This window comes from Homo sapiens, chromosome 6, assembly GCF_000001405.40.
Source record: "Homo sapiens chromosome 6, GRCh38.p14 Primary Assembly".
Taxonomy (NCBI): domain Eukaryota; kingdom Metazoa; phylum Chordata; class Mammalia; order Primates; family Hominidae; genus Homo; species Homo sapiens.
Genome location: NC_000006.12, coordinates 149,903,658 through 149,929,661, shown reverse-complemented (window position 1 = coordinate 149,929,661; position 26,004 = coordinate 149,903,658). Strand labels below are relative to the sequence as shown.

Sequence of the window (26,004 nt, the reverse complement as noted above, 5' to 3'; positions counted from 1 at the left end):
ATTCTGCCCAGCCTGGAGGTCTCCAACCACGGTACCGCCACCTTCAGGCCTCTGGGGGCTACAGCATCCACTGCAGCTCCCCTTCTGCACCTGGGGTTTTCTTCTGAGCCCATTCACTCCCACAACTCTCATTCATTCAGCCGTTCCCTCAGCCTCCAACCACCACTTAAATTATGTCAGGCTCACCTAGTGCTACACAGAAGAATCATCCTCTGTGGGTCTGAAAAAGACTCTGGATTCCTGGTAAGTGGGTCCTGGGTCCCCCTGGTTGCTGGAGAAAGTGGTGAGGACCCTTCATGGATGGAGAGGTGAGTGAGGTTTGTGTGGGTAAAAGTGCCAGGCTGAGATGGGGAACTAAAGGATGTGACTTGGGTGGTGGCAGTGAATGGTGAGGAGAGGGGTGAAAAATGTCTGGTGAGCCCCTGGGTGCAGGTGAGTGTCTGCAGCAAAGTGCAGGGGAAAGATCAAGGGCAGAGAACCCTGGGGGTGCTGGAGGGCTTGTGTGGTAGAGAGTGTGTGGGAGCAGACTGTGTGGTTGTTGGCGGAAAGTTGACAAGCAACTTCAGCAAAGTCTCAGGATACAAAATAAACATGCAAAAATCACAAGCATTCCTTTACACCAATAATAGACAAACAGAGAGCCAAATCATGAGTGAACTCCCATTCACAATTGCTACAAACAGAATAAAATACCTAGGAATCCAACTTACAAGGGATGTGAAGGACCTCTTCAAGGAGAACTATGAACCACTGCTCAACTAAATAAAAGAGGACACAAACAAATGGAAGAACATTCCATACTCATAGATAGGAAATTGTGAAAATGGCCATACTCCCCAAGGTAATTTATAGATTCAATGCTATCCCCATCAAGCTACCACTGACTTTCTTCACAGAATTGGAAAAACTACTTTAAACTTCATATGGAACCAAAAGAAAGCCTGCAGAGCCAAGACAATCCTAAGCCAAAAGAACAAAGCTGGAGGCATCACTCTACCTGACTTCAAACTATACTACAAGGCTACAGTAACCAAACAGCATGGTACTGGTACCAAAACAGATATATAGACCAATGGAACAGAACAGGGGCCTCAGAAATAACACTACACAACTACAACCATCTGGTCTTTGATCTGACAAAAACAAGCAATGGGGAAAGGATTCCCTATTTAATAAATGGTGCTGAGAAAACTGGCTGGTCATAGGTAGAAAGCTGAAACTGGATCCCTTCCTTATACCTTATACAAAAATTAACTCAAGATGGATTAAAGACTTAAATGTTAGACCTAACACCATAAAAACCCTAGAAGAAAACCTAGGCAATACCATTCAGGACATAGGCATGGGCAAAGACTTCATGACTAAAACACTAAAAGCAATGGCAGTAAAAGGCAAAGTACACAAATGGGATCTGATTAAACTGAAGAGCTTCTGCACAGCAAAAGAAACTATCATCAGAGTGAACAGGCAACCTACAGAATAGGAGAAAATCTTTGCAATCTACCCATCTGACAAAGGGCTAACATCCAGAATCTACAGAGAACTTAAACAAATTTACAAGAAAAAAAAAACAACCCCATCAAAAAGTGGGCAAAGGATATGAACAGACACTTCTCAAAAGAAGACATTTATGCCGCCAACAGACATACGAAAAAATGGTCATCATCACTGGCCATCAGAGAAATGCATATGAAAACCGCAATGAGATACCATCTCACACCAGTTAGAATGGTAATCATTAAAAAGTCAGGAAACAACAGATGCTGGAGAGGATGTGGAGAAAGAGGAACGCTTTCACACTGTTGGTGGGAGTGTAAATTAGTTAAACCATTGTGGAAGACAGTGTGGTGATTCCTCAAGGATCTAGAATTAGAAATACCATTTGACCCAGCAATCCCATTACTGGGTATATACCCAAAGGATTATAAATCATGCTACTGTAAAGACACATGCACATATATGTTTATTGTGGCACTATTCACAATAGCAAAGAGTTGTCCATCAATGATAGACTGGATTAAGAAAATGTGGCACATATACAACACAGACTACTATGCAGCCATAAAAAAGGATGAGTTCATGTCCTTTGCAGGGACATGGATTAAGCTGGAAACGATCATTCTAAGCAAACTATCACAAGGACAGAAAACCAAACACCACATGTTCTCACTCATAGGTGGGAGTTGAACAATGAGAACACATGGACACAGGGCGGGGAACATCACACACTGGGCCCTATTGGGAGGTGAGGGGCTGGGGGAGGGATAGCATTAGGAGAAATACCTAATGTAAATGACGAGTTGATGGGTGCAGCAACCGAACATGGCACAAGTATACCTACGTAACAAACCTGCACGTTGTGCACATGTACCCTAGAACTTAAAGTATAATTTTTAAAAATTATTTAAAAATTAAAAAATAAATAAATAAATAAATTTTAAAAAATAAAATAAAAATCATATATCAGGTAAGGGACTGGTATTCTGAATATATAATATTGCAACAAAATATAATTGCAATTATATATTATATATAATATATAATGTTGCAACTCAACATTATAAAGTGAAATAACCCAATTTAAATATATGCAAGGAATTTGAATAGACATTTCTCCAAAGTAAGACAGGTATACTACACGGTGGTCTCAAAAGAATAGAAAATTTTGGGCAGCAGTTTCAGGTGACTAGCAAAAGGAATCTGTTGAAATATGTGCAGAGGCTCTGGGCTGATAAGATGCTGAAAAACAGCATGTGGACCAAGCTGGCTAAGAATGACTGGACCCAACAAGGCCCTGCATTTGACCTAGGTTTCACCTAGGACCTCATTACATGCTGATTAACATACTAAACACACACCAGCCAGCTCCTGAGCAGTTCTGAGAACACTTATATTTAGTGTAAAAATGCGGGGCACCACAGTTCTGAGAAATCTCTACCTTCTTCCAGGAATTTTCATGAATATTCCACTCCTTGGTTAAAGAAACCCAGAAAGGTGGCAGCCCCAAACTTGCACCTGCTTCTCTCTCGAGTTCCCCTGCACTCCCTTTACTTGACTGTGTACTTTGCCTTTTACAATAAATCTCCGTCCTTTCTCTATTTCCTACTGGTCCTTGAATTAATTTCCCCGGCAATATCAAGAATCTGGACACTGGCTGGAGTCGAGGTCCCACCGGCGTTTGGGGACCTCCCCTTGCCCGCTGGCATCAGAAGAAGAATGCAAATCGCAGTGAGCCCAGGAAAAGGTGTTCAGTGTTCACAGCCCTCAGGGAAATGCCAATCGCACCCACAAGGGGACGCCTCACCCCGCTGAAATGGCTGATCCCAAACACAGTGAGGGTGGAGGGGGTGGGGCCTGTGTTCCTTACTGGGCAGAGAGCAGGAGACGGAGAGTCGGTGGAGTGTGGGGGCTGTGCGCGTGTCCCCCTCTCCCCATTTTCGTGGTGGGGGTTTCTCATTGTTCTCCGGCCCTGTTTCCTTCCTCTCCCTTTCTGCCGCCCTCCCTCCAATCCTTCTTTTCCACCCATCCCAAGGTTTTCTCCGCCTCACGACGTCCATGCTAGGGCCTCCCAGACCAGCGGAGAAACCAGCAGCCCTGGACCGCAAGCGGCGGGGTCAGGGAGGCGACAACGGGAAGCCCCTGCCGGACCCTGGACACTCAGGACCTAGTGCTGCCCGGGCGCCCTCCCGCAGCAGCCCCAGGGCGAGGAGGATGGGGGGGGTCCTCGCAGGGGCCACACTGTCGGAGCCCCACGGATCCGGGCGGGACGGTGAGGCCTCCACACTGAGCCGGTGGCAAAGTCCCCGCGAGGATGAAGGAGGAACCCCGTGCTCCTCACCCCACCAGGCCCCGCATTTCCTGGCTCCTCCTGTCTCAGGAACCGCCTGTCCCTTGCCGCGACCGGCGAGTCCTTCCGGGTCTTCCTGAAACAGTTTCGTCCCGAGGCTCTGGATCTGGAAGCCCAGGGGCATCGTCCGGGAGCGGGGCACCCACTGTGGGTCTCCGCCAGCCAGCACTCAGGCCCGGAGCTCGGGGACAGCGGGCGCCCTGGGAGGAGCACACAGAACCATATCAAGGCTTAGGTCCTGTCGAGCTCTAGAGGGTTTAGCAAATTCAGGTCTGTTTCAGACTGTGTCTCTGGTCATAAGGAACCCCCACGGTGCGTGGTGTGCAGACAGCAGGAGCTCAGGCATGTGCGGTCCTCACATTTGAGTGGGGCAGCAGATTGGTGGCTCCAGATGCTGTGTGTCAAGGAGAAGGAGATTCCATCCACTGGAGAAGAGCAGAGGAACTGGGTGTAACCCCAGGAAGGAGAGGCTGCCAAGGACTGTGTCGACCCAGAGGACAATGCTGGAGTTAATTCCCAGGGAAGGTGCCTGGGTCACAGCCTTTAAGGCAGACGCTGACTGAAAAGACTGTATACAAGTAGGAGGTCAGGTCTCTGGGAACCCTCAGAATACGGCTCAGTCCTGGGGCAATGCCCCTGCCATCCGGCCTCCTGCACACTCCAGATTCTGGCCCTGCCTGGAGCAGAGCTGACTCGGAGACAGGGGTACTGAGCTGCTCCTGGAGTTCCAAGGTCACTGCTGAGCTGGACCAGGAGTGGATGGGGCGGGGCAGGGACAGTCTCATTCAGAGCTTTGGGTACAGCCCTAGGGTGAGAAGAGGCTGAGAGAGAAGGGGAAAAGAGGATATTGCCTGAGTGGCTGGGGGCAGAATGGGACCCAGGGGCTCTGTCCAGTCCTCACCCTAAGCTAAGCCCTTCACAGCTGCCAGGAACCACTGGGACCCTCACCTGTCTCTGGCTTCTGCCACCACTTCCAGATGCCCTCATGATAATTAAGACAAGGATACAATTGGGGTTTCCTTTTGAGGATGGCCGCAGGGACCGTCCAGGGACTGAGCAGAGGTGTGGGTGCAGCCATGGATCCAGGCATCAATGGTTGGCCACAGATGGGTGTACTGCAAAGTGAGCTCCACGCACGCACAGACCCCTCCCTTGCCTCCTGCTCCCATGGGAAACACAATTGATCACATTCCAATTGAGCAACAGTAGGCCACTAGGGCTTTTTTCCCTCAAAAGCTGTACACAGATCTAGTATAGTCTCAAAGACCTCATGCTTCTAGTAGAGAAGCAAAGAAATGTGTGAGCATTTGTCACACAGGGAGATCCGGATACGCTCCATCACTGTGGATCCAGGCCTCAGGGAGCAGGAGGGTGTTCCTTCATGTGGGAAGATGAGGGACACACATGGGAGGGGGTATTTGTGCGCGGCTTGGAAGGATGGCTGGTCCTTGCCCAGGGGGAACAGGCCCAAAGCAAGCGCTGGCAGTTAGTAGCTATGGGGAGCTTTCATTTGAACCTGCTCTGCTGAGTCCCCTGGGCCATCCCCACACCTGGTGGGGCACTGTTCTAAGGGGAGCTCAGGGTCAATCTCTCTGATGTGCTTTCTAAATCAGCAAGGTGCCTCACAGGTTGTGATTTTAGAGACAAGGTTTTCAATGCTTTGCATTAAAATGCAAAGATTTTAATGAGCAGAGTCTTTTTGCCAATCCGAATTGGGCAGATCCCAGCAAGACACATATTTTTAAGATAATTTTTAAAGCTGTTTAATTTTGGTAAAAAAGTAGAACATAAAATTTACTATCTTAACCAATTGTTTAGTGTACAATATCTTCTTTGAAGCTTCTGAAGACCTGGTGCTTCTGTAATAAAATCTAGCCCCGGGCCAGGCGTGGTGGCTCACCCTTGTGATCTCAGCACTTTGAGAGGCCGTGTCGGGCCGATCACTTGAGCCCAGGAGTCCAAAGCCAGCCTGGGCAACATGGTGAAACCCCGTCCCCACTGAAATACAAAACTTAACCGGGCTTGGTGGCGCGCACCTGTGGTCCCAGCTACTTGGGAGGCTGAAGCAGGAGAATCGTTTGAATTCGCGAGGCAGAGGTTGCAGCGAACCCAGATCGCGCCGCTGCACTCCAGCCTGGGCGGCAGAGCGAGACTCTGTCACGAAGAAAAAAAAGAAAAGAAAGAAAAACCAACCAACCAAACAAACAAACCTAGCCCAGGCTATAACCACGTCCACTCGGGATTTGGGATGAGGCCGCGGGGATGGGACTGGGCTTGGATCTGCGCACAGGACGGTGGGTTGGGAGCACTCTGCAACGCAGGGAGAGGGAAGGCGGGTGTCGCAGGTACAGGCGAGGACAGGGAGACCCTGTCGCGGCTGAACACTTCTGTGCATTTTCTTCACCTTTCTGTGCATCGGTATCCACATTGGATTAATACAAAATGAAAAAATTGCGGTGATGATTACATGAGGGGGTCATGGAAAGAAGCCTTTGGCAGGACTGGTCCCGGGCAGGCAGCCAGCAAAGTCTGACTGGCTGAAGCAGGGGGAAGTGCGCGAGCGCTGCAGTAGAAAGTGGGGTAGACTTGGATGAGCAACTTGGCTGAGAGACACCTGATTGGCTAGCGGCTCAGCAAAGGGGGTGTGTTTCCTCCGAGGGGCGGGGCAGAAGGAGTGCTAGAGTTTAGGGCTTACTGGAGTTTAGGGCTGCATTCAGACGGGCTGCATTCAGACAGCCTGCGAGCCGCCAGGTGATCCACGGGCTGGGCTTCGCTTCTGCTGTCCCCTGCGATCCAACTCCCCAATGGCAGCGGCCGCCAGCCCCGCGTTCCTTCTACGCCTCCCGCTTCTGCTCCTGCTGTCCAGCTGGTGCAGGACCGGGCTGGCCGGTGAGTTCGGGGATGGAGCCTAAGCGGGGCGGAGGCCAACCGTGGGGGGCTGTGGACTGTGGGCTTCAGAGGAGGGGAGGCTTCTGGAAGGACCCGTGCGATCACCCCGGACTGCGCCCCCGCTCAGTTTCCCTCCGCGTCTCCTTCCCGCCGGGTCCGTTCCCAGAGGCTACTTATCCTCCGAGGGGAGGAGCTGGTCAGAGAGGAGGCTGGAAAGGAACCCCCGGAGAGTGGAGGGGCCAGAGGGCTGCAGAGGGCGACGTGGAGCGGGGATCCCTAGTGCAGCCCGGCAGTCCCACCCGCCCTCGGGAAGGAGAAACCAGAGCCCCCAGAATCCGAGCTGGGGTCAGGACAGGGGTGAAGTGGGGTTGCACAGGGACACAATCACAGACACTCCCACCAGCCACCAGCCTGCTCTGTTCTCACCCGCTCTCAACCACACAAACCTTCCAGCACCCCCAGGGCTGCGTGCCCTTGAATTTTTCCCTGCACTTTCCTGTAGACACTCACCTGCACCCAGCGGCTCAGCAGACACTTCCCACCCTCCCCTCACCATCCACTGCCACCACCCAGGTAACATCCTCTTACTCCCCACCTCAGCCCAGCTGGTCACCCCAGAGGTCTCCCCATCCATGAAGGGGCCCTCGCGACCTCTTACACCACGTGACACCTTCTGCCTCTTGCCTGAGGACACACCCCAGCAAACACACCCCAAGCTCCCCACAGAACCTGTGCAGGGGGGATGGGAAGCACCATTTCCTCCAGGATGACCCTGGGAACTCTGGTGAGTAGAGGCACCCACTTCTGCCCTTGGGGCCCAGACCTGCCTGTTCTTCCTACTGGGGCGCCAGCATCATAGAGAATAGTCAGTGTGTAGACAGGGGTCAGCAAACCCTTTCTAGAAAGGGAGGAAGGATGCCCTGTGATCTTTGCAGGCCTTGGGTTCTCCGTCTCAGTGTCCAGTCCTGTCCCTTTGCAGAGCAACAGCAGGCAATGGCAACCTTCAAATAGGGGGGACCAGATTTGGACCCTGTCCTAGGTTGCTGACCCTAGATGAGGGGATTACAGTGTACCAGCAAATAGTACCCCATCCCCTATGGTGTCATCTCCAAGTGGTGTCTCAGGTGTCAGTTGGAGAGTAGAAGGTGGTCCTACCTTGCCTGTGGCTTCTGGGTGGTGTGGATGTGATGGGAGTGGGGGTCCCATGGTTCAGGGTCTACTCTCCCCTCCTTTGCTGCTGAGTGGCATCTATGGTCCACGGGGGCCATCAGTGACCTTCCCTGAAACCTGAGGTGTAAGCTGAGGGTAAGGGGGTGCAGCCACGTGGTGTCCTGGGAATCGGGGCCAACTGCTTGTGCAGCTTCCCGGTTCCCTGTGGCCCTACTTCTGCCCATCCCAGGAGAACCACCTGTGTCTTCTCACTGCCAGACCTCTCTTCCTAATGACCTAGAGGGTGAGGAGCCCACCCGTAATGGGCAGCTCTGAGGCTGGATGGTCACGGCCCTTCCATGGCTAAAGGCCCCATCTCTGCCAAGGCCCAGTACTCTACAGGAGACACTTTTTAATGTTGAGATTTCCTTGCTGTGAGTGGCGTTGCCTTGCCTCTGAACATTCACATGGAATCTATGTTGTGATTCTCCAATTAGACATTGGAACCACATGCACCTCTAGGATCTTAGGGGGTCTTGGGTCATTGGGCACTTAAGGCAGGTCCAGCCTCGCTCATTCATGGATTGCCTGTGGCTGCCTTTGCGCTTCAACAGCAGAGCTGAGTAGTTACAATGGAGAATATATTCCCTGCACACCTTTACATGTTTACAAAATTGCCCTTCATAGCAAACTCTAGTGGCCATAAATACGTTTGGAGAAGCCCACAAAGAATCATTGCACTTGTTGCGGGGTTAAAGGGTCCTTCCTCACTGGAAACTGGTGTCTTCTTCTAGTCATGGGTTCACGGTCTGAGAAGTGGCTTTATTCTGCAAATTAGGCAAAGCAGCCTTGTTCTTGAAGGACTGGCTACTTTCAGCCTCCTGGTCATCCATCATTTGTTTTATCTCTGTTTCTTGTAATTATTTAAATCCAGCACTATTCAGGTTGGGTTTCCATCTCTTCTGGATCTTGGACCCCTTTGTTCTATGAGCCATGGGCATAGCTTTGTATGACTGAGGTCTCCAGCTGGCATTGTGACTTCTCTAATCATTTCCATCATTGCACCCTCCTTGTTCCTGACAGTTGACAACCTCCACCTGGAATCTGTTATTTCGGGATTTTTCATCCCATTACTACTGGGAGCCCATTTCAGGAAGAGCATCTCCTACCCCCAACCCTGGCCTTCAGCAATAGGCATCCCTGAGCTTCATCCCATTCTGGTGCCTTCTCATGGGGCCTTCTTTATATGCCAGGTAAACAGGAGTCCTCCAGGCTTCCCATGAGCACAGCAGATGGACATTGTTCTGGATTTTCACACTCAGACCCCTCCAGCCTGGGCACTTCTCTGAGCCTGTGATCCCTCCGTCTACTGCCTGCCTTAGATTTTCAGATTTTTCTATTTCTTGCTGTGTGGACCATCCCTTTGTCCAAGGTTTCAGGAAGGCATCCTCATAGTAGATGAGCACCACCACCAGGGGCTTTGCCAACGTGTTAAATCCTGTGACCATGATAATTAACTCTTCTTTATCCAACTGGGTTCCATCCTCACTCCGTCCCACCATGCACCAGTATCCTCAGGTGCAGCTCCCACACCCTGTCCCACCTCCCACAGTCCACGTGGGCTACTGCTGAAGATCCTCTGTCATCCAGGCCCTTCCTCCTCTAGCACTCCTGGCACCTCTCTAGCAAGGTCCTGTGTTGACCGATGTGGACAGAGGGGCAGTGGGACATGTCTGGGGACATGTGGTTTCTCAGCAGGCAGGGACCTCCTCCTCCTCTTTGCCCTCATGGAAGTGGGGAGCACTCGCCTTAATCTTGTGGACACCACAGTTCTGGAGGAGGCACTCCTTGCTGGGCCAGCCCAGCCCTCCAGAGGCTTCCTCTTATTGTCACAGTGTGGAGGAGGGGTATCTAGGGGTCTTTTCCTCCCCACCCACCCCTCACCTGCCTTTCTCCACAGACCCTCACTCTCTTTGCTATGACATCACCGTCATCCCTAAGTTCAGACCTGGACCACGGTGGTGTGCGGTTCAAGGCCAGGTGGATGAAAAGACTTTTCTTCACTATGACTGTGGCAGCAAGACAGTCACACCCGTCAGTCCCCTGGGGAAGAAACTAAATGTCACAACGGCCTGGAAAGCACAGAACCCAGTACTGAGAGAGGTGGTGGACATACTTACAGAGCAACTGCTTGACATTCAGCTGGAGAATTACATACCCAAGGGTAAGTTTCAGATGGCCCAGGACAGCAGGGAGCAGATACAGTGGTAGGTTAGAGGCATTTATAGTTTTCATGTAAAAATACAAATAGGAAGGTCATCTCACCCCGCAAGACGTCTAGAGGCAAGGCCAGGATGTGGCAGAGCAAGTAAGACCAGGAAATTGCAAGTGGAAGAGGATGGGGGCTCAATATCTGTCAAGGCCAGAGCTGATCTCTCTTTGATGGGGGCAGAACCCCTCACCCTGCAGGCCAGGATGTCTTGTGAGCAGAAAGCCGAAGGACACGGCAGTGGATCTTGGCAGCTCAGTTTCGATGGACAGATCTTCCTCCTCTTTGACTCAGAAAACAGAATGTGGACAACGGTTCATCCTGGAGCCAGAAAGATGAAAGAAAAGTGGGAGAATGACAAGGATATGACCATGTCCTTCCATTACATCTCAATGGGAGACTGCACAGGATGGCTTGAGGACTTCTTGATGGGCATGGACAGCACCCTGGAGCCAAGTGCAGGAGGTAACAGGAGAAAAAGAAATGGGGATCTCCAATGAGATCAGAAATGGGGATCTCAAGAAACTAATTCTTGAGTTCAGCTTCAATCATCCCAGTGTACACGTTTATGTTAAAATGACCTCCTCGTGGGGTGCTCCTCCTGGGGGTGCTGGCGTGCCTGTGCTCTCCCACCCTCCTCTTCCTTCTCCCTCCTGACTCCTCTTCCTCACTGCACTTGCTTCTGTTCCCCACACTGTGGATTTCTCACCAGCCTCGAAACTGCAGGTGTCACTATTTTCAGGCCTTTCTCCTTAGTGTTCCCTCTTGAGAATCACTTTTCCTTTCCTCCTCTGGTCTGTTTCTGGAAATCCATCAAAACCTCCTCCAAGGCCAGCCTCGTGACCCTCCCCTCCCGCACCCTGGAGCATCACCTCCTCTTCCGCCACAGCAGGAGGGTGGGCTTTGCTGTCACCTTGCTTCCCTCAGCAGCTCTGTGAGCTCCCTGAGGCCAAGGGACACCCCCTCTCCCTTCCTACCCCAGGAACTCTCCCAGGGGCTGCCCCATAGCAGAGGGGACAAAACCTCTGCCTTCCAGGATGACCTGGGTCAGCAGGAGCTGAGGAGGCATCTCCTCAGATTTGGGGCCTGGACAAGGGTTGTCACTCTTGTGCTTCCATTTCAGCACCACCCACCATGTCCTCAGGCACAGCCCAACCCAGGGCCACGGCCACCACCCTCATCCTTTGCTGCCTCCTCATCATGTGTCTCCTCATATGCTCCAGGCACAGTCTGACCCAAAGCCATGGCCACCACCCTCAGTCCCTGCAGCCTCCTCCTCATCCTCCCCTGCTTCATCCTACCTGGCTGCTGAGGAGAGTCCTTTGGAGTGACAGGTATGGGGGCAGAATTGGGAGTGGAGCAAAGGGCAGGTGGGTGAGGAGGGAGGACAGGGATGGAGAATTCCCAGAGTCCCACTCCCTATGGCTGGGACCTTCTCATCCTAACATGAGACAGGTGAATGAGACCTTGTGTTGCTTGTTGGAAATGACCTGGGCAGCTCTGCCCTGAGTTCTGATGGATTCTCACCATCAAAGGCCAGAGGGAAAGGCGCAGTGGTGCCATACCAAGGCTCAGGGTCTGTTGAGCTTGAGAGGGTTTAGCAAGTTCAGGCCTGATTCAGAGCAGGTTTCTGTTCAGGAAGGGTGTGTGGCCTGCAGGCAGCAGGAATTCAGACATGGGCAGTCCTCTTAATTGGGTTAGGTGCATCAGGGTAGCTTTACATGAGGTATGACAAGGGAAGGGGGATTCCATCTCTGAGGCTAAGAGAGAGATATGTGTGGGCGGCAAGCCACCCAGGTGCCAAGGCAAGAGACTGAAGGCACAAGCTGTTCCAGTATAATAAAGAAAATACTTAAAATAAGAATAGTTGTATTAGACGTAGAATACAGACATGATTATCTATGAATATTATCAATCATTAGTCTGTAGTGTTACTCTTTTTTCCAATGTTATAATAATCTCTGTTCCACAATTATAACCCAGGAAAAACCAGGCCATGCAGAGACAGGAGCTGAAGGGACACGGTGAGAAGTGACCAGAAGACAAGAGTGTGAGCCCTCTGTCATGCCCAGACAGGGCCAGTAGTGGGCTCCTCAGTCTAGCAGTAGCGCCAGTGCCTGGGAAGGCACTTGTTACTTAGCAGACCGGGAAAAGGAGTTTCCCTTTCCCCGGGGGAGTTAGAGAAGACTCTGCTCCACCACCTCTTGTGGAAGGCCTGACATCAGTCAAGCCTGCCCGCAGCCATCCGGAGGCCTAAACGTCTCCCTGTGATGCTGTGCTTCAGGGTCACGCTCCTGGTCCACTTTCATGTTCCGCCCTGTACACCTGGCTCCGCCTTCTAGATAGCGGTAGCAGAATTAGTGAAAGTATTGAAGTCCGAGAAATACATAGAAGAAACAATGACGTAAGCTGTCCTCTCTCTCTCCGCCTCAGCTACCAAATAGCGAAGCGCCCCTTGTCTGGTGGACACGTGACTCGCGTGACTTTACCTATCATTGGAGACGACTCACACTCCTTACCCTGCCCTCTTGCCTTGTATACAATAAATAACGGCGCAGCCAGGTATTCGGAGCCACTACAGGTCTCCATATCTTGATGGTTCCCTGGGCCCAGCTGTCTTTTCTTCCGTCTCTTTGTCTTGTGTCTTTATTTCTACGATCTCTCATCTCCGCACACGAAGAGAAAAACCCACAGGCCCTGTAGGGCTGGTCCCTACAACTATGAGTGTAATCCCAGAAGGAGGGGGCTGGGAGAGCCTTGGTACACCTAATTGAAAAGGAGGGGGCGCAGGGCTGCCTTCCCACAGAAAGTGGCTTGGGTTCCAGGAATTAAGGTGGAAGGCGAAGAGTAGAGGCTGCACATGAAAAAAATTTTTAAAAAGTCAGTCCCATGGACCCATGGGGTTCGAGTCCAGACCTTGAGGCAGCTCCCTTGCCATCACCTTCCTGCACACCCCAGATCCTGAGCCCGCTCATGGCCCTGCCAGGAGCAGAGTGGACTCAGACACGGGGGACCTGAGCTGCTGCTTAAGTCCATGGGCACCACTGGGCTGGACCAGGAATGAATAAGGTGGAACAGGGACAGTCACCTTCAGAGCTATGGGTGCTGATTGCAGTGTGAGGAGAGGCTGAGGAAGAAGGGGAAGGAGGAATATTTGCCTGCAGGCCCACCCAATGCCAAGGACACAGGAATACAGAGCCCTCTCTTTGGATGGGCTCCCCCTACCCCTTGCCATGTTTTAGGCCTTCTCATCAGATGGTAGAGAGGGCCTTGAGTGAGGGAGCAGGCCCATCACTACCAGCTTCAGTCTTGCAGGCCCCTCCACTCCATCCCCTGGTCAGGTGCAGGGCCTGGGCTGACACTGTGATTTGACAAAGGAGGAAAGAGGCTGCTCCAAGCTGCAGGTGCCAGGGTTGGGGCTCAAGGGAAAAACGGGTCCTTTAGTGCAGTGGGCTCTGAGACGTGGAGTGCCTAGGGAAAGATTGCCCTGCAAAAGTGATCCAGGTTCTCCTTCATCTCTTAAACCAACATTTGTGTCCTTTTTGAAAGTTAAAGATGATACCAAAAAGCCCCTGTGAGCAGGGTCTTGATCAAACTCGCCCTTCTGTCTGGCCACCTGCCCACCACCTACTGTGTATGTCCAGTGGCCTCCAGCAGATCATGATGACACCATGGACCCAATAGCTCATTCACTGCCTTGATTCCTTTTGTCAATAATTTTACCAGCGGTTATTCCTAACATCTTATGTTATTTTTTATTGGTGCTACCTGATGGAATTCCTGCAATTAAAGTTCTGGCTGACTAAAAAAGATATGTCAACATTTTCTTTCTTCTGCTTTTGTTTGAAAAATCAAGTACTTTTTGAATGATGACCTCTTTCTTCCAAATGATACAGTCAGTAAAACAATCATGTTAGATTTCAGACCTCCAAGGTTTCTTTCCGCGTCCTGAAGGATAATTCTTTATTTAATAAGAAAAAATTATATTAATGATATTTCCTCAGTAATTTATTGCTCTGTACTAATATTTCCACAAAGAGTTCTATTTCCCAAAAACCTACTGAGTTTAGAATTTTCTTGTATTACCCAGTAGAGAATTAATGTTATTTCATTTTTCCTCCATGGTGTGAGTAATAAATGAGTGATTCTGCTAGATTTTGTGTGGAAACAGAATCTACAAAACGTGGCTGAAAAAAATCAGGGACAATACAAATACATGGAAAAATAATTTATGCTCATGGGTTAGAAGATACAATATAGCTAAAATGGCCATACTTCCAAAAGCAATTTATAGATGCAACACTATCCCTATCGAACCAACATCATTTTTCACAAAATTAGAAAAATCTAATCTAAAAGTTATTTGGAATTAAAACAGAGCCCAAATAGCCAAAACAATCATACGCAAAAAAAAAAAAAAAAAAAAAAAGCCAGGGGCATCTCACTGCCAGACTTCAAACTATAATATAAGGCTACAGTGATCAAAACAGAATGGTACTGGTACAAAAATAGACACTTAGGTCAGTGGAACACAATAGAGAACTCAGAAAGAATCCTTCACACCTACAGCCGTCTAACCTTCAACAAAATCAACAAATAGTGCTGGGATAACTGGCTAGCCATGTGTGGAAGAATGAAACTGAAGCCCTGCCTTTCACCATATAAGTAAAATAACTCGACATGGACTAAAGATTTAAATGTAAGTCCTAATACTATAAAAATCCTGGAAGATAACCTTGGAAATACCACTCTGGACATAGGGCCTGGCGAAGATTTCATGATGAAGACACCCAAAGCAATTGCAACCAAAACTGAAAATTGCCAAATGGGACTTCATTAAACTAAAGAGCTTCTGCAGAGCAAAGGAAACTAGCAACGCAGTAAACAGCCTATAGAATGGGAGAAATAGCTGAAAACTATGCATCTGGCAAAGCTCTAATATCCAGAATCTACAAGGAACTTAAACAACTCAACAAGCAAGAACAAAAAAACCCAGTTAAAAAATAAGCAAAGAATATGAACAGACACTTTTCAAAAGAAGACCTGCAAGTGGCCGACAAACATGAAAAAATGCTCTTTCGGAGGCCAAGGTGGGCAGATCATGAGCTCAGGAGTTTGAGACCAGCCTGATCAACATGGTAAAACACCGTGTCTGCTAAAAATGGTAAAATTAGCCTGACACTGCTCATCTTTCAAATATTTCAATAAACCCAGAGGGTTTGCTCACAGTGAGTTTGCACCATGAGCTCCTTGGCACACAGCTTGGGATCCACAGTCAAGGGCTACAGAGAAGACAAAAGAGACGTTGACATCATGTCGAATGAGGAATCCATAAAGAGTTCATTTTTGAGGATTGGGGAAGTTCCTCCCACCATGCAGATCAAGATGCCCTGAGGGCAAAGAGCAGAGCGGTGCGCTCTGGTGGCCCAGCAGTTCTGCCCCACGGGAGAGGTTTCTCTTCTGATGCAGTGAAAACTAGCAGGACACTGTTTCATCCCAGAGCCAAGGAAACCAGGAAGGAAGGTCAGAGTGAGGAGGTGTCTGAGTGTTTCAGATCACACAGTGACATCCTGCTTGATGGCTTCAGGAATCCTTCATGAGCTGGGAGACAGCCCCCGAGGTGACAAGTGAGGGGGCAGGATGGGCCCAACACGACAACTCTTGAGATGACACCCAGTTTCTCCCATGTGTTTATGTGTGTCTTTGTGTGTGCATGTGCGTGTCTGTGTCTGTATTTCTGCATGCATTTGTGTATGTGTGTGTGTGTGAATGTGTAAACACCTGTGTGGTGTGAGTGTGTGTGAGAGAGACTGTGCGTGCATGTCTGTGTGTCTGTGTGTGTGTGATAACATGCATGTATGAATGGTGAATTGATTTCCTGGTTGATTTGCTGTGGAGAGAGAAGGGACTCCAGGGTGGTTCCTGCCCTCCCCTCCTTCCCTGTCTTCCCTCCTGACATTTCCTCCTCCCTGTGGAAAGAGTCTACCCTAGTAACTGAGGGTTCATTACTACAGACTTCTCAGAGCTCCCCAAAGTTCTATGATATTTGCACCCCCAGGCCTCCTCTTCATGCTTGTCCCTCTGCTGGGTGCCCTATCTTCTCCTCCCACCTGGCCACGCTGTATTCTTCCTATTCCTACAAGAACAGTCTGAAATGCCACCTCCCAAGAAGCCTCCATGCAAATCCCCAGGCAGAATGAGTCACCCCCTCTTCTGTCCTCTGATAGCCCCAACCACCACAAGGACATCACATCAGCAGTAGCAGCCATGTGGGTGTTTGTTTCTGTCCCTGGACTCTAAGTTCCTGGAGGACTGGACACATCAGTCACCACCTGTAAACCCAGCACCTAGCACAGTGGCTGCCATATGATAGGGTTTAAGACACGTGGGAGGAATCCAATCATCAGACTACCCCAGGGCTACTAGAACTCAGAAAAGGATCTCCATAACTTGGGAGAATTGGACAAAGGTCTTCATTTCTGTTCTTTCCAGCACCAACCTCCATGGCTCCACTCATCCCTACTCATTCCTCCTGTTAAGATTGGCCGGTAAGGAGAGGGGTAGGGGCAGGAGCAGCTACATCTGGTCTCCTCCACCACCCACGGTGGGGAGCACCCTTGGTGGGACCTGGTGAGCATGACAGCCCCTGAGCCATGGGGACCTGGAGCCTCTGCAGCCCCATAGAGACCAGGAGGAGCTGTTCAGCCACTTGCAGAGACAGCCAGAGAGTGCTTCAAGGACTGCATGAAGCTCTGGAGAAGCGGGGAGTTCAGGGCCCTCTTTTGTAGGGCATGAGAAATTTAGGCAGGATCATGTCTACAAAAGAGGCTGTCACTTTGGCTTATCAATGCTTTCACCTCCTTACCCCTTCCAGATCAGAGTGGGCACTTTACTTGTTTTTATGGATTATTGTGTCAACCAAAATGAGAGGTCAGAATCACCCTAAACATTTGAAACTTCTTCAAGATTTGACAAATGCACATTTTAATACCACTTCTATTTTTAGGAAGCTGTGGCTGTAGAAAACATTTTCTAATACAGTATTGTCTAAATTATTTATACAGAATTTTAAAAGTCTACATAATGTCATACAACCATGTGAAAAGTAACTTGTTATTTTCAGAGTTGGAGATAAGCCATGGCAACATGGTGAGACCCTGTCTCTTCAGAAAATTTTGAAAATTGACCAAGTGTAGTAGCATGTGCCTGTAGTCCCAGCCCCTCAGGAGGCTAAGGTGGGAGGATCACTTGAGCCTGGGAGTCTGAGGTTGCAGGCAGTTGAGGTGGTGCCACTGCACTCCAGACTGGGTGCAGAGTGAGAGCCTGTCTCAAAGAAAACAACAACAACAACAGAAATAAGAAAAAATAAATAAACATTGATAAGCTATGTTGACATAAGAATTGTGGAACCCAAATGACCAAATCATGCAATTTCTTACCTTTTTTTTTTTTTTTTTTGAGACAGAGTCTCACTCTGTCACCCAGGCTGGAGTGCAGTGGCACGATCTCAGCTCAGTGCAATCTCTGCCTCCCGGATTCAAGCAATTCTCCTGCCTCAGCCTTCCCAGTAGCTAGGACTACAGGCACGTGCCACCACACCCGGCTAATTTTTTGTATTTTTAGTAGAGAAGGGGTTTCACCGTGTTAGCCAGGATGGTCTTGATCTACTGACCTCGTGATCTGCCGCCTCAGCCTCCCAAAGTGCTGGAATTACAGGCATGAGCCACCGTGCCAGGCCAATTTCTTACTTTTGATGTAGTAAGGGGTATGCCAAGTGTTACTATTCTCAGAATGTTCTATCTTATGAAATATAATTTCCTCCAGTGAATCCACTCCTCGGTCCAGGTCCTCTGAGAAGCAGATGCCTATATGGGATTCACATGAGGGGAATTCATTGGTGGAAACCCTGGGAGAACCATTCAGCAGGACGCACTTCTGATGCTGAGTGCAGGAGGGAGGGACAGGAGGTTGGGCAGGTGCATTGTACACTACAGTGAATGGTGCTGGGACAACTGGATGCTGCATGCAGAAGAATGAGGCGGGCCCCTTCCTTACAGCACACACAAAAACTAGCTCTAGATGAATGGCAGATGTCCACATAAGACATGAAACTATGAAAGTCTCAGAAGAAAATAGAGCAGTAAATTTTTGTGACCCTGGATTTGGCAAAGGCTTCTTAAGTACTGTATGCCAATAGCACAGATGGCAAAATAAAAGGTAGTTTAATTTCATTTCATGCAAATATAAAACTTTTGTGCTTCAAAAAGGATTCCATTTAGAAAGAAAAAAAAACTTGCAGAATGAGAGAAAATATTTGAAAATGATGTATCTGGTAAGGGACTGGTATCCTGAATATATAAAGAACTCTTGCGGTGGGCGGCGGGGCACCCACTCGTTGGTTTCCACTGGGTAGGACCCAGGTCCAGAACTGGGGCACAGCGGGCGCCCTGGGAGGAGCACGCAGAACCCGGAGAGCACGCGGCTAGGTGGAAACTGAAACCCTCAGGAGCCAACTTTCCCCGAAAGTCATCTGTGGTTGAAATCAGCAATCACCTGTAATATCATCCTTATGACAACACAGTTGGGTAAATATCTAGAACCAGTGCCTCGTCACTGCAGCAGCCCCGCGCGCCCCTGCCCGGGTTCCACGTTTCCGGACCCTCATGGCCCACAACAGATCTGGCGAGCATACTTGGTGACCGTCCCCGGGGCTCCCGGCCCCACTCTTCCTTACTCCTTCACCTCCATATTTTCACCTGTTTCAGGATCGAAACCATGAAAAGTCATGTGTGAAAGGCTCCCCGGCCCCTGCCTGCATCCACTCTCATTGGCCACAGCCCGGGACGAAATTTGATTGGATTCTTCTCATCTTTCCAGGGAGTCTTTGCCGCCATTTGAAACGCATATGAATACATATTCTTCATTCAGATGTGGATATTTTTGACTCTTGGTGAGCCCTGTTACCCTGTCCTTCAGGAAGCCTGTACCAGTTTCCTCTCCCTCTGCATGGAACTCTCCTCAGATGCCAAGTAGAATGAAGAAGAGGAGGACGATGATGAGGCTTCAGGAGCTGAGGGTGGTGGCCATGGCTTTAGGTTGAGCTGTGCCTGGGGCCACGGTGGGTGGTGCCGAAAGGGAAACACAGGAGTGACAGCCCTTGTCCAGGCCCCAAATCTGAGGAGACGCCTCCTCAGCTCCTGCCGAGCCAGGTCATCCTGGAAGGCAGAGGTTTTGTCCCCTCCCCCTCGCTATGGGGTAGCCCCTGGGACAGGTTTTGGGGTAGGGAGAGGGGGTGTCCCCTGTCCTCAGGGAGCTCACACAGCTGCTGAGGGAAGCAAGATGACAGCACACCCCACCCTCCCGCTGTGGCAGAAGAGGAGGTGATGCCCCAGGGTGGGGGAGGGGAGGGTCTCAGGGCTGGCATTGGAGGTAGTTTTGATAGATTTCCAGAAACAGACCAAGAAAGAGGAAAGGAAAAGTGGTCCTAGGAGGTGGGAACAACCTCCATGGCTCCACTCATCCCTACTGCTTCCTCCTATTAAGATTGGCAGGTCAGGAGAGGGGTAGGGGCAAGAGCAGCTACACCTGGTCTCCTCCACCACCCACGGTGGGGGGCACCCTTGGTGGGACCTGGTGAGCGTGACAGCCCCTGAGCCATAGGGACCTGGAGCCTCTGCAGCCCCATAGAGACCAGGAGGAGCTGTTCAGCCACTTGCAGAGACAGCCAGAGAGTGCTTCAAGGACTGCATGAAGCTCTGGAGAAGTGGGGAGTTCAGTGCCCTCTTCTGTGGGGCATGAGAAATTTAGGCAGGATCATGTCTACAAAAGAGGCTGTCACTTTGGCTTATCAATGCTTTCACCTCCTTACCCCATCCAGATCATAGTGGGCGGGGACACAGAGCCAAAATATCATTCTGCCCTTGGACCCTCGCAAATCTCATGTCCTCACATTTCAAAACCAATCCTACCTTCCCAACAGTCCCCCAAAGTCTTAACTCATTTTAGCATTAACTCAAAATTCCATAGTCCAAAGTCTCATCTGAGACAAGGCAAGTCCCTTCTGCCTATGAGCCTGTAAAGTCAAAAGCAAGTTAGTTACTTCCTAGATACAATGGAGGTACAGACATTGGGTAATTACAGCTGTTGCAAATGGGAGAAATTGGCCAAACAAGGGGACTACAGGCCCCATGCAAGTCCAAAACCCAGTGGGGCAGTCAAATCCTAAAGTTCCAAAATGATCTCCTTTGACTCCATGTCCCACATCCAGGACATGCTGATGCAAGAGGTGAGCTCCCATGGTCTTCGGCAGCTCTGCCCCTGTGGCTTTGCAAGGTTCAGCCCCTCTCCTGGCTGCTTTCAAGGACTGACATTGAGTGTCTCTGGCTTTTCCAGGCACACAGTGCAAGCTGTCAGTGGATCTACCATTCCAGAATCTGAAGGACAGTGACCCTCTTCTCACAGCTCCACTAGGCAGTGTCCCAGTGGGGACTTTGTGTGAGGGCTCCAACCCCATATTTCCCTTCCACACTGCCCTGGCAGAGGTTCTTCATGAGGGTGTCGCTCCTGTGGCAAACTTCTGCCTGGACATCCAGGCCTTTCTATTCATCCTCTGAAATCTAGGAAGAGGTTCCCAAACCTCAATTCTTGACTTCTGTGCACCTGTAGGCTCAACACCACATGGAAGCGGTCAAAGCTTTGGGCTTGCACCTTCTGAAGCAACAACCCAAGCCGTACCTTGGCCCTTTCTAGCAATGGGTAGAGCAGCTGGGACATAGGGTACCAAGTCCCTAGGCTGCACACAGCAGGGGGACCCTGGGCCTGGCCCAGGAAATCATTCTGTGGTTTCGTGAGCCAGGCCATTTTTTCCTCCTAGGCCTCTGGGCCTGTGATGGGAGGGGCTGTTACAAATGTCTCTGACATGCCCTGGAGACATTTTCCCCATTGTTTTGGCGATTAACATTTGGATCCTTGTTACTTATGCAAATTTATGCAGCCAGCTTGAATTTCTCCCCAGAAAATGGGTTTTTCTTTCCTATCCCATCACCAGATTTTTTGAACTTTTATGTGCATTTTCCTTTTGAAACTGAATGCCTTTAACAGCACCCAAGTCACCTCTTGAATGCTTTGCTGCTTAGAAATTTCTTCTGCTAGATACCCTAAATCATCTCCCTCAAGTTCAAAGTTCCACAAATCGCTAGGGCAGGGGCAAACTGCCACTAGTCTCTTTGCTAAAACATAGCAAGAATCACCTTTACTCCAATTCCCAACAAGTTCCTCATCTCCATTAGAGACCACCTCAGCCTGGACTTCATTGTCCATATCATTATCAGCATTTTGATCAAAGCCATTCGACAAGTCTCGAGGGAGTTTCAAACTTTCCCACATTGTTCTGTCTTCTTCTGAGCCCTCCAAACTGTTCCAACCTCTGCCTGTTACCCAGTTCCAAAGTCGTTTCCACATTTTCAGGGATCTTTACAGCACTGCCCCACTCCCAATACCAATTTATTGTATTAGTTAGTTTTCATGCTGCTGATAAAGAAATACCTGAGACTGGATAATTTATAAAGAAAAAGAGGTTTAATGGACTCATAGTTCCACATGACTGGGGAGGCTTCACAATCATCATGGAAGGCAAAAGGCACATCCCACATGGCAGCAGGCAAGACAGAATGAAAATCAAGTGAAAGGGGTTTCCCCTTATAAAACCATCAGATCTCATGAGACTTATTCACTACCATGAGAACAGTATCAGGGAAACTGCCCCCATGATTCAATTATCTCTCACTGGGTCCCTCCCACAACATGTGAGAATCTTGGGAGCTACAATTGAAGATGAGATTTAAGTGGGGACACAGCCAAACCATACCACCCTCCAAACGCACCCTTTTCCTCTCAGTAAAACCAAAGCCACTGCAGAGGCCTAGGGAGCCCTGCACAGCTGTCCCTGACTCTGTCCTTGCTCGTTCATCTCCTATCCCTGGCATCCTTGCTGGTTCTCAGGGCCTGTTCCCCTGCCTCAGGGCCTTTGCATCACCCTCCCCTGGGCCTGGACTGTTCTTCCCTCAGAAGTCTACCCAGCTCACTTCCACACCTGTTCCTAAGTGATACACCCTTCCACACCTGCTGCCACCACCCTCCCACTTTGGAATCCTTTTATTATTTTCTTTGTTTAATTTTTAAATTTTGATATAATTGATGTAACACAAAATGTTCCATCTTAACCACATATATATCTATATCTGTTTATCTATCTCTCTATCTATGGGCATCGCTTTACCCCAAGGTTGATCATTATTGAGAGGTATTTTTACAGTCCTCCTTCACTCCTTCCTCAGCTGCCTCCTGGTTAGACATGCTAGCAAGAATTCAGATGGCCCAAAGATACTGGAGGAAGTAAAAATGGTGAAGGCCATATACATTTTGGTTCACATTTGGCATGTTTGGGCCTTTGCTCTGTGTATGGCAAGGAGAGAAAGATATGAAATTAAAATTACAGATAAATACAAGGAATAACTGAAACGAAAGATACTAATTTTCTTTCTCTTGTTGACTCAACCAGGTTTTCTTCTCCATTTCTGGCTGACAGAGACCAAACAGGTTGGCTTTATTCCACTGTCCTCTAGTCGTTGGAGACTGCTTTCCAATACTGTCCAAATGTCACCTCCATCTTAGAGACTCCTTCTGGGAAAGATGACTTTGTAGCCAACAATTAGGGAGAAGAGAATAGGAAGCAGGAGAAAGAGTTAAAGTGCTGCACAGAAGCTTCCATCCACAAGAGGAGCACGCCACCAAAGCAGCTGTAGAATACACAGTATGGCAAAGGGCTGGAGTCCAGCCTGTGCTGTCTGAGAAGGCATACCAAGCTCAGAACCAGGTCCCACCCAGAGAAGTAGTCCAGTCCCCCTTGTCATTGAGAAATAGCCAAACCCAGTGCGCTAGACAGAGACCACGTACACCACACTCTCTCGCAGAAGCTGTCCAGGGAAGAGATAGACCAACAGGATGATCTGCAGACCATCCTTGGCCAGAGCCCTAGACCAAGGAGAGCTGGGCAAGTCCATGATGTCCAATCAGAGCTGGGCCCAGGGTTCATGTCTTGAACATCAGGAAGCCCCCAAATGCAGTGCCTCGCTGGTTTCTGTTTGTTACCAATGCCTGGGTTAACTCCAACCACACTCTCTCACCCTTTCGCAGCTCAGCCATGGCAAAGGTGGCTGCTGTGCTTCCCGCCCAGGGTCCCTGATGGAGCCCTCCAAACACCAGGTGCCTGGTTCCTGGCCCTGGGCCAAATTCAATGCTCACTGCAAATGGGACACCAAACTCCGGCTTGGTAGTAGCCATGTTCAGGGAAGTTGCTGCTGTCAGTGTCGATGTAGCTAGTGTTGAACTTCCATGTCTGCAGGGCAGCTGTCCTTTCTGAGAAACTGGCATAGAAGGCCACAGGGGAGCCTGCCTGCCAGAGCTCAGTGTTCAAGGCATCTGGCACTGGCCCTTTGATGTGTGTGTCTGGCAAAGGCTCAGCTTCTTTCCTGTCCCTCTTCCGGGGAACTTCTGGGCCTTTCTGCTTCTGCTTCCTTTTCCTGCTGGGCACGGTTTCCAGCTTCCCCAGATTTAGGCTGACACTGCTGTCACCAGCTCTTGGAAGTTTCCAAGGAGGAGCAGCTGGTGCAGTCCAAGCTGCACTCGGAGGCGGACCATGGAGGCCCCGAGGCAGGTGAGAGAGGTGGCTGGGCAGCCTTGCAGCACCACCCGAGCCACTGAAGTCAGATCTCAGGAGCTGGAGCTCCTGAGCCAGCCCAGCCAGGGCTTCACACAGCTTCTTCTGGGCCCAAGTGGTCGCCAGCTCCAAGTGCTCTGCCGGCCATGGGGGCTCCAAGCCACGGCCCACTCGTGGCCTGCTCCAGGGCTGCCACCCGGGTAGCCAGCGAGTCCCAACCGAGCACCTGCTCCTTCAGGGCCAGGCAGATCTGCTCACGGGCAGGGGAAGCTGGCCGTGCGCCTCCTTTGACCTCTCCTCCATCACCTCCTCCCCAGAGAGGGAGGCCAGCAGGCCTCCATCAGGGCAGCCTAGGAGCTGTGCAGCTGGCGCCGCCATCCAGGCTCCCCTGGGTCTCCTTCAGGGTGCGTGGTGTCCCCGTGGCACTCCCGGACGGCCTCCAAGTGAAAGTAGAGCTTGTGGCAGCTGCCTCCTTGACATACTTGATGAGGTCAGTGTGGTCGCCCCACAGGTGCTGCAGGGTGAGGCTGAGCTCCAGGAGCTGCTACTCCACCTCCACCTTGTTTGCCTCCATAATTAAAGGCTTCATCAGGACCACACACAGCTCACAGAGCGCCCTGTGGTTCACCTCCATCTCTGGCTCCATTTTGCTGATCTGATGGAAGGTCTCGTCCAATTCGGAGCACAGCTCCTTCATCTCATCCACGTGCCGGGTCAGGGTAGCCCTCATATCCCTGAGGGGTGTTTTGCAATTCCTCCTCCCTGCAGGCTGAGTCCATGTGCAGCACCCAGAGGTTCCTCTGCAGTTGGCCAGCCTGGCCTGCAGGCTCTCCAGTTCAGGCCTTGCCCCAGCCCCTGCCGTCATCAACACGCAGCTGCCATTAGTCCTTGGGGCCTCCTGGGTTTGGCCTCTTCAATTTGGTGTCCACATCAGCCTGGACCTCAGAGAGGGAGTGTACAGGGAAGAGCACCGAGCATGCCGTCAGTCCTCCACATCCTTTCACAGCTGGCCCACTCTCTGAGCATTTTCCTGGATCTTGGCTTCAAATTTACCACCAAGCTCCTGGCAGTCAGCCCTGGCCACAGCACTATCCTGGACCATCGTGATGGCCTGGTGTTGGCCTCCACATCAAGAAACAGATTTGTTATGTCCGGGGAAAAGCCATGCAAGCTTTCCTTTAAGCTCTTTCAGATGGGGCCGAAATGCACTTGCAGGAAGGTGTCCATGTGGGGCAGCAGCACCTGCTCCAAGGATCTACCAGACAACTCCAGCTCTGTTTGATTTGCCACACTGCAGCTGTGAGGTTACTAGCCAGGGCTTTCCACGGGCCTGGTAGGCTGTCACCTGGGGGAATGTCATCCTGGAGATCTCCCAGGAGGGATTCCTGCTGCTCCTGTTGCACTTCAGCCTCATTGATCTCCACAGCCAGGTGGCGTGACTTTAACTTCCTGGCCGTCTGGAGCACCCTGTGGACATGGCTGCTGTGAGTGGATGTAGAATTTCTCTGTTTTGCAAGCAGCTGTGAAGGTAACCAGCTAGGACTTCTGGAAAAGCATTGTTTTCACAGCCCCTTAATCTCAGGCTGGCTCCCTCTTTGTGCCTTCCCTTGGGGACCCCTGCTGGGTGCCCTCATCTCTCAGTGAGCTACTGAGAGGCAGGTGCCTGCCCAGAGTGTATGTGAAGCTCCTGCAGTCTGATTTGGGCCTGCACTTGGCCTGCCATGGCCCCAGCCTGCTGCCCTGCCACAGCCAGGAGCCATTTCAACCGTTTTCAAATGTACAGGCATCTATTTAAAATGGCAGTATCTGTGCCTGCTCAGGCAATCCTGAACCTTCTTAACCTGAACTTTTTCCTCCTAAAGCAATGACCACTTTAAAACAGACAGTGTTAGCTTTTGATTGCTATTGTAAGAAATTACAAATTTAGTGGCTTAAAATAACACAAATTTGTTCTCTTACCATTCTAGAGATCTGAAGTTGGAATGGATCTCAATGGGCTAACATCACTGTGTTGTCAGGGCTGTTATTTCAGGAGACTCTCGGGGAGAACCTGTCTCCTTCTCCCCTTTTCCAGCTTCTCCAACTGCCCACATCCATGGCTCAGGGCCCATTTCCCCATCTTCAAAGGCAGTT

The 26,004-nt window shown here is 50.3% G+C and overlaps 1 protein-coding gene, 1 long non-coding RNA gene and 2 pseudogenes across 7 annotated transcripts in view, besides 5 other annotated features; 1 reads left to right on the top strand and 3 right to left on the bottom strand.

The window, feature by feature from the left end:
• Window positions 3,265-3,344: a silencer, noted in NCBI's record as "silent region_17671". NCBI's record gives its function as "represses an Ori minimal core promoter by ATAC-STARR-seq in GM12878 lymphoblastoid cells {active_cell/tissue: GM12878}" and the evidence as "EXISTENCE:reporter gene assay evidence [ECO:0000049][PMID:35858748]".
• Window positions 3,265-3,809: a biological region, named in NCBI's record as "H3K4me1 hESC enhancer GRCh37_chr6:150246989-150247523".
• Window positions 3,275-3,809: an enhancer, noted in NCBI's record as "H3K4me1 hESC enhancer chr6:150246989-150247523 (GRCh37/hg19 assembly coordinates)". NCBI's record gives its function as "activates a minimal SCP1, AML or CMV promoter by ChIP-STARR-seq in naive H9 embryonic stem cells {active_cell/tissue: H9 hESC(naive)}" and the evidence as "EXISTENCE:reporter gene assay evidence [ECO:0000049][PMID:30033119]".
• Window positions 3,810-4,345: an enhancer, noted in NCBI's record as "H3K4me1 hESC enhancer chr6:150246453-150246988 (GRCh37/hg19 assembly coordinates)". NCBI's record gives its function as "activates a minimal SCP1, AML or CMV promoter by ChIP-STARR-seq in naive H9 embryonic stem cells {active_cell/tissue: H9 hESC(naive)}" and the evidence as "EXISTENCE:reporter gene assay evidence [ECO:0000049][PMID:30033119]".
• RAET1G (retinoic acid early transcript 1G) lies at window positions 6,541-12,784 on the top strand. Of its 5 annotated transcripts, none has more exons than NR_130110.2 (5): window positions 6,541-6,736; window positions 9,846-10,109; window positions 10,338-10,619; window positions 11,378-11,488; window positions 12,588-12,784. NR_130110.2 is itself a non-coding variant. In NM_001001788.4 (5 exons), the coding sequence occupies exons 1-5, from the start codon at window positions 6,652-6,654 to the stop codon at window positions 12,748-12,750; spliced, it is 1,005 nt and encodes a 334-aa protein (NP_001001788.2). In that variant the 5' UTR covers window positions 6,541-6,651; the 3' UTR covers window positions 12,751-12,784. The 5 variants fall into 5 exon arrangements, 4 of the variants coding, with proteins under 4 accessions (NP_001001788.2, XP_011534102.1, XP_016866320.1 ...); NM_001001788.4 differs by having other exon boundaries at window positions 11,278-11,488; XM_011535800.4 differs by having other exon boundaries at window positions 11,278-11,488; window positions 12,138-12,784.
• Window positions 10,154-26,004, bottom strand: part of RAET1E-AS1 (RAET1E antisense RNA 1) — a 56,011-nt gene continuing 40,160 nt past the window's right edge. For both annotated transcript variants that reach the window (NR_045126.1, NR_045127.1), the window contains one exon: window positions 10,154-10,475. This is a non-coding gene — a long non-coding RNA (RAET1E antisense RNA 1). The remainder of the gene's footprint in view (window positions 10,476-26,004) is intronic.
• Window positions 12,074-12,359: a silencer, noted in NCBI's record as "fragment chr6:150238439-150238724 (GRCh37/hg19 assembly coordinates)". NCBI's record gives its function as "represses an EF-1alpha promoter that drives an FKBP-Casp9 reporter gene in an ReSE screen in phorbol 12-myristate 13-acetate-treated (for megakaryocytic differentiation) K562 erythroleukemia cells {active_cell/tissue: K562(+PMA)}" and the evidence as "EXISTENCE:reporter gene assay evidence [ECO:0000049][PMID:32094911]".
• RAET1F (retinoic acid early transcript 1F (pseudogene)) lies at window positions 19,172-19,634 on the bottom strand (annotated as a pseudogene).
• LOC100240714 (multimerin 2 pseudogene) lies at window positions 22,656-24,024 on the bottom strand (annotated as a pseudogene).

What these genes read in the sequence shown, in the direction of transcription:
- RAET1G (XM_017010831.3), top strand. Translation starts at nt 6,652, where the DNA reads ATGGCAGCGGCCGCCAGCCCCGCGTTCCTTCTACGCCTCCCGCTTCTG. An exon ending in GTGCAGGACCGGGCTGGCCG is followed by an intron (nt 6,737 to 9,845) that starts GTGAGTTCGGGG and finishes CTTTCTCCACAG; the next exon opens with ACCCTCACTCTCTTTGCTAT. An exon ending in CCTGGAGCCAAGTGCAGGAG is followed by an intron (nt 10,620 to 11,277) that starts GTAACAGGAGAA and finishes CTTCCATTTCAG; the next exon opens with CACCACCCACCATGTCCTCA.